A 7346-nucleotide genomic window follows, 5' to 3' on the forward strand; every position below is an offset into this window, starting at 1 on the left:
TCAAGAACTGCAAACATACACCACCAGAAATAATAGCCAACAGATCGAAAGATGGGAAACTTAGACCCATGGGGCCATATAAAATAGAGGAGTCTAAAAGTTATTTACAATAAAAATATTTAATATGTTCAAAGATAAAAGGAAACGTCATACATAAAGCAAGAACCAACAAAGGAAGCTAGATAGTAACAATAACCAGTTAGGAAGCCTAGATATGCAAGTAATAAAATAAAAATAAGAATTTAATTTTAATTTCAATAACTGAGTAAAACAGTAATTGTAGCACAGAAAATTAGAGAATTAGCAAATTGGGAGATAAATAAATATAAAGTATATCTGTCAGAAGGGTGAAAAGATGGAATATATGAAAGGAAGTTTAAAGATACAGAAGCTCAAACTTCCCTATAAGACCCAGGTGGAGAGAAAACAGAATTGCAGGAAAACGATTTTTGAAGTGTCACCGGCTGACTGGCGTGTATGCAGCAACGAACACAATCGTTAGTAAAGCGCAAACAGAATCTGCTTGCAAGGGTCTGAGGCAACAGATACTGTCATTTTTGCTTTCTACCTTTCCCTTTGGTTCTAACTGGAACTTCAGAGAAGGCTGGAGCTTCAGCCACCAAATTATGAGCATGAAGTGACCTGGAAGCCATCGAAAAGGAAACAGCAGGGCCAGATCCCTGTGTATGTTGCACAATTAGCACACAAGCCACAGTTGGCCTTTCTGATTTTTATTTTATTTTATTTTATTTTACTTTATTTTATTTTTGAGACAGAGTCTCACACTGTCACCCAGGCTGGAGTGCAGTGGCGCGATCTCGGCTCACTGCAACTTCCGCCTCCTGGGTTCAAGCAATCCTCCTGTCACAGCCTTCTTTTTTTTTTTTTTTTTTTTTTTTTTTTTTGAGACAGAGTCTCGCTGTCGCCCAGGCTGGAGTGCAGTGGCGCAATCTCGGCTCACTGCAGGCTCCGCCCCCTGGGGTTCACGCCATTCTCCTGCCTCAGCCTCCCGAGTAGCTGGGACTACAGGCGCCCGCCACCTCGCCCGGCTAATTTTTTGTATTTTTAGTAGAGACGGGGTTTCACCGTGTTAGCCAGGATGGTCTTGATCTCCTGACCTCGTGATCCACCCGCCTCGGCCTCCCAAAGTGCTGGGATTACAGGCGTGAGCCACCGCGCCCGGCCTGTCACAGCCTTCTGAGTAACTGGGATTACAGGTGCGCACAACCACGCCAGGTTAATTTTTGTATTTTTAATAGAGATGGGGTTTCACCATGTTGACCAGGATGGTCTTGATCTCTTGACCTCGTGATCCACCCGCCTCGGCCTCCCAGAACTCCCAAAGTTCTGGGATTACAGGCGTGAGCCATCACACCCAGCTCTGATTTTCTTTTCAAATGAGGAAAATAAAACTTGGATGGGTTTAAATCATTGTTTTGAGGAACACTCTACTATTCATAGTTGACATAACCTTTAACAGATTCAAAAAAACAGATTTTCAGGTATCTAAAAACTAAGAGAATTCTATCCACAGATCTTCACTTGAAAGATCCTTTCAATGGAAGAAGAAACTTCAGTAAGAAAGAAAATTAGGCCAGAAGAAAGTAGCGGGAACCAAGAGGCAATAATGAGTAAACACGTCGGTCATACATGATGGAAATGCTGAATCAGGATTGACCTTATATAATAATAATCATTATTATTTTATTACTGCTAATCTTTTGTGCATAAAAATGATTCAGAACTGAAATATTAGATGATAACTGTGAGTTCAGAGAAATAAGTGGAATTCGGAGTGAATTAAAGGACTTTAAGGTCTTTGCCTTCTTTGTGAAGAGAAAGGAAGGAATGATTTGTTTTAGATTTTGTTTAAAGGTGCAAATTTAGAAATTGAGGGTAGTTGTAGCAGAATGGTCAGCATCCCTTTTTTTTTTTTTTTTTTTGAGAGACAGGGTCTCGCTCTGTCACCCAGGCTGGAGTGCAGTGCTTGATCTTGGCTCACTGCAACCTACACCTACAGGGTTCAAGCAATTCTCCTGCCTCAGCCTCCCAAGTAGCTAGGACTACAGGCACACGCCACCATGCCCAGCTAATTTTTGTATTTTTAGTAGAGGCGGGGTTTCACCATGTTGGCCAGGATGCTCTCGATCTTTTGACCTGGGGACCTGCCCACCTTGGCCTCCCAAAGTGCTGGGATTACAGGCGTGAGGCACTGCGCCCGGCCTCAGCATTCCTCTTTAATTCTTTCTGATCATTTTACCATTTCCATGCACACCTGCAGAGATTTGTTCAGGTGTGCAGGACCTGGCTCACCAAGCAATGGCCAAAGAGCAGGACCATGGAGTAACACTGTAGTTGATAGAAGTCTGTTCTTGAGATGGCCATGGAGGTGTAACTTAAAGAGAAGACGGTGAGTGTCTTAGCAAGCATCATGAAGGTGACCTTCCCCGTCTGGGACCATAGGCCAGTCATCTCTCTAGTTGAGTGACTTTGGATAATTCACATCCTTTTAGTGGCTTTTTATCCCCTCTTTCATGCAGTGGGGCTTGTTAACACTCATTTCCTATTCACAGGGTTGTTTTGTGAAATGTGGTAACGTGTGCAAACGCTGTTTATAAAGGCGTGCTGGACTAACTCCATAAGTTGTCATTTTTATATTCCAGTGCTTTTTGGGAGTGTTTTCCATCCTAGAAATCAGCCTTCCCTCCAGAATAGAACCAAGTATTTGCCTTTGTACAGAGTTTTTGCGCTTTCCTCTTGAGCTCAAGTAGACACTCAATGAACTTCGGTTGAATCACTCACATTCGTGATAATAGAGAGAAATCATTGGCAGGGAATTGCTGGCTTCCCTTGAACTAAAGAACTCCTGAGGACAAGAATAATAGACTTTAGGCAGCGTGAGGGATGGGGAGTGAATCACAGAAAAAAATGCATTGCCGAGAGAGGGGCGGGTGTGGCTGTGTCTGGCACACTGACTAGTGTGTTGTCTCACTGTCTCCAGAAGACAGACATGGGGGATCTTTCTACTTCATTTTTCCTCCTGATACGTTGCTTATTTAAAGTGACACAAATTCCACTCACTGTCTTTGAGGATGATTGTCTAAGAAAAAAACAAAACAGCTTGTTTTACTTTTTGTACTTTAAATCCTCCTAATCCACTCTCTCTGCTTGGCGTGCCTTCTGGAACAGAGAAGGTGCCAGGCGCCGGCTCCTGCCTGTCTCTGCCAAACCCAAGTCCCTGGTTTGCTCCTGGGGAGAAGGGACCCACACACTCCCTAAGCCCACTCGGGGCCCCCTAGGGACAGCAGCCTCCGCTCCCCACACTCCTGCGGCTGCCTTTCACGATTTCCTAGCAGCACAGCTCCCAAGTCTTTCCTCCCTGTGCCTGTGTGGGGTTTGCTGAAGGTCCTCTCTCTTCCTCATGCCGGTTTTTGTCCATGAAAGTCTCTGACAGGGTTTAGTAATTTCTTCCACGGCCTGGCTGCCCTCACTTAAGTTGGATCAGTGACCCAGTTCCCATCTTTTAGCTCCTCTGAGGGAAAGTGCTGTCTATGGTCACAGGTACTCTATTTAATCTTTACAGGAACTCAAGGAGAAGAGGATTTGCACAAATGGGACAGGAGTTTTGCACCCCCTGACCTATACTGTTATTTCTAAACTTCCCAACAACTCTCTCAGGTGTACGATCCATGTTTTGGAGGTGAAGACAATGAGGATGGGCACCACATTCTTTAAATGATGGGACTGGATTTCAAACAAAAGTTCCACCCCGAAGCCCCCAACCAGTCAATTTTCTAATGCCTCTCTGCATAGATTTCCTCCTTTAACTGGATAGCAGAAGCCTCAGGTAATAGCTAAGTCTAAGCACATGCCTGCTTTGTGCCAGAGTTGCACTAAACACTACTCCCTGCAATGAAGGTTAGCACTGTTATTACCCCCATTTAAAGATAGGGAAACTGAAACACTGATAAATTAGGTTCTGGGAGCCCCAGACCTAAGAAGGTGAACCCAAATGGTCTAACCATCAAATTTGTCTTTTAACCACAGCCCACCCAGACCCTCCTCCCCTGCAATGTAGGCCATGTAGACCATGTATAGGTCCAGGTTCCACATCATCCCTACTGGATACAGAGTTGATCAGTTTTCTGTATGATTTCAAACACACACACACACACACACACACACACACACACATTGATCAGTTTTCTGCATGATTTCAAACACACACACACACACACACACACATACATATTTATACATATAAAATTCATAAAGCTCTCAAGGAGGTAGGGAGAGCAGAAGAGGAAGTCCATGTGGGAGGATGGCCCAGGAGACTGTTTTCCGAGCTGCTGGGCCCTGGAGTCAGACACTAACCCTGTTTCCTCTCCAAGGGTCCAGGAAGATAACAGGATTTACTTCCTCTTGTAGGGCCAGTAATCACCAGTGACCCCAAGAACTTTATAAAATCCTGGACCCTATTCATTCTGGTGCAGCTGAGTAATGGGAGAAACAAGAGGGCTTTTTCTGTCAGAGAGGCTGCAGTAGGTCTGACGTTGGGGCCCTAGATGAGGTGGCCAACTCCAAGCCCTGTGGAAGATTAAGTTCAGGTGAGTTGCACAGGTGTCTAGAAGGCCCCAGTCATGTAAGTATGTAGCCTTACTGTGCCTGGAGCATGGATCAGTCCTACATGTCTGTGTTCCTTTTCCCCTCGTGTGAGGCTTTCAGCTCCTACCAAAACGCAGTGATAGGACATAGAGAGCCACCCAGTCAATCTGTGGGGATTTAGGGATAGCTTCCAGAGAAAGACAGCAAGCATGAGAGTTAAGGAAACTGCAGGGTGTCCCAGAGAGAAAAGAAGGAATGCATATGCAAAGGCCAAGGGGAAAAGGAAAATATAGACATGTCTGGGAAACTCATAGGTTTAGCATAGTTGGAAGTTGGAAGATAAACAGGGAAAGAAGAATCTGGGGACAGAAGTGATACCAGGTGCTAGAGGACATTGGATGCCATGATGCTAAGGAGTTTAAAGTTGAGTCTGAGGGTAGTGGGGGTCATTGAGACAAGGAAGGAATTTAAACTTGAGTCTGAGGGTAGCAGGAGTCACTGAGGCAAGGACATCAACATCACTGAATCTATACTGTAAATGGAGTGTGTAGTTTGGGCTCCAGGAAAACAAGTCTGGCCACTGTGAGGGAGGTCAGGTGGGAACACACTTCAACAGTCAAGACACCAGAGAAGGAAGGCCAGAGCCAGAGCAGGATGCTGGGGAAGGAGAAGTTGGGAGTGGATTTGAGAGATGTCATTGAGGTGACTTTGAATGTAGGGATGGAGGAAGCCTGGGGAATCCAATTTGATGGGTGAAGGTGGATACCGATCAGATATAGGTAGGGATCTGATGGGCCTTACAGAAAAAGCTGAGTTGGTCAGGATGATGAGAGCTCTCATTGATGGAGTTTTCATATGTGACAGGTGTGTTTTGAATGTAGCTCCCATGCTCAATCCTCACAATAATGGAGGCTTAAACACCTTGGCCAAGGCGTCAGCAGCCAGGAAGTGGTGGAAGCCAGAATCCAAACCCAGGCATGTGGGGTTTCAAAGCCTCACTGTTAACCACCACAAAATTGCTGCCACCGAGTGAGCTGTGCAGATGTTGGGTTTCGGGGGCTTAATGTACACACGAGTGATTCCCAATAGTCCATTGGGTTGAGAGTCCAAATTCAGAATGAAAGAAGAGGCAGCCAGATGGATTTGCATGCTTTCCAACAATTACAAATGTAGAAGTGGTACCCAGTAGGAAGAGATCTTAGAGAAGGCCTGAGGATTTGGCAATAAAAAATCTGTTCACTCATTCTTCTGCTGAATCATTTATGCATTCCCTTAGACTACTCATTAGATACTTCGTGTGGGCCTAGCCCTGCATCAGTCTCAGGCCAATTAGCAGAAATGTTATTTAATAGATTTAGTAAATGTTGACTCAATAAGAACATAAAAAGTTCTGTGTGTTATACTGTGTATAACAAACACAAGTACTATCTACATAATAAGCATTTTTAATTAAATCCATTTTAAATGAGCCCACACAAGGGGTAGTGAGAGAGAATAACAAAAACATTAGGTCCATTCCATGTTACAAACACTATCCACTTCTCTATGGCATGGCAGTGGAACAAACTCCTGGACAGCTGAGAAACTCTTTGAGGAAGGGAGATTGAGTGGAAGAGACGTGAGTGACGGAGGTAAACAGAGCTGCTGTGACATCCTGGCTCCACTACTCAATGTCAGTGAGCTCTCAGGTGAATCATTTACCCTCTCGGGGACTCAGTTTCCTAATATGTCAACAGGATTAACAATATTCAACTCAGAGGTATGTAGTCAGGACTAAATAAAATAATACAGGAGAAAATGCCCAGCATCATTTTGATTTTGAGATTTTATTGAAATACAGTTGGATGTGAATTTAAATGCAGTAAGAAAATAAAATTCAATGTCAAGTTAACCCTAATTAGGTTTATCCACTGTAAAAACTTGTGGGCGGGTTTTGGAACACTTATGAACAATTTTTGAAGTTGTTGGTGACATACTTATCAGTGGGCACTCACACATTTCTCTTCAGAGACAGAGTCCATTGCTTTCATCATTGTGAGGGGTGTTTATGACCAGCTGATGCAAAGTCATACCTGCAAGGAAGTGTGGAAGTCATAAGAGGCTGAGTCGCTGACCTTCCCCTTGAAGTCCAGACTTGCCTGCCCAGGAGTAGGGAGTGTGGTCTGTAAACAGCATTTGGCTGTCAGCTCCTTCAGCTTCCACCCGCCCTGCAGAGAACTGCTCTGCCTGCAGTTCTCCTGTCCTTCCCAGGGCCAAGGCATTTTGTGACTGAGCCAAGTGGCAATAAACACCTGCCCATTTTACTGTGACACAGGACACGCTGTTAGGTGTGATTTGTCCAGTCCTCCCTCCGGAGATCCTGGGGTTACTGAGGCATGGTTGTTCCCACGAGGAAGTTCACCTTCTTCCTCTATCTCCTCTTTTTTCTCTTCTGCTCACAGAAATTCATCCTTAATCAACACCCCACACTCTAGATGTTATTTCTGCATCTGCTTCTGGAGAACCTGACCTGTGAGAGAAAAGAAATACGAAAAAAATTAGACGACTAGGTGAGAATAGAAGCTTATGATAGAGTTCCAAGAAAGTAGAAGGAGTTATCAGAGTTAAGTATAGCAGAAAGGTCAAGATAAGGGCAGAAGTTGTTCAGCTGGACCAGCAACTAGCCATGGAGCCCACGGAAACCACAGTTTTGCAGGACCAATAGAGAAGCTTTGGGGTAGATATTTGGTAAGTCATTGGAG

The sequence above is a fragment of the Homo sapiens genome, chromosome 14 (assembly GCF_000001405.40).
Source record: "Homo sapiens chromosome 14, GRCh38.p14 Primary Assembly".
Taxonomy (NCBI): Eukaryota; Metazoa; Chordata; class Mammalia; order Primates; family Hominidae; genus Homo; species Homo sapiens.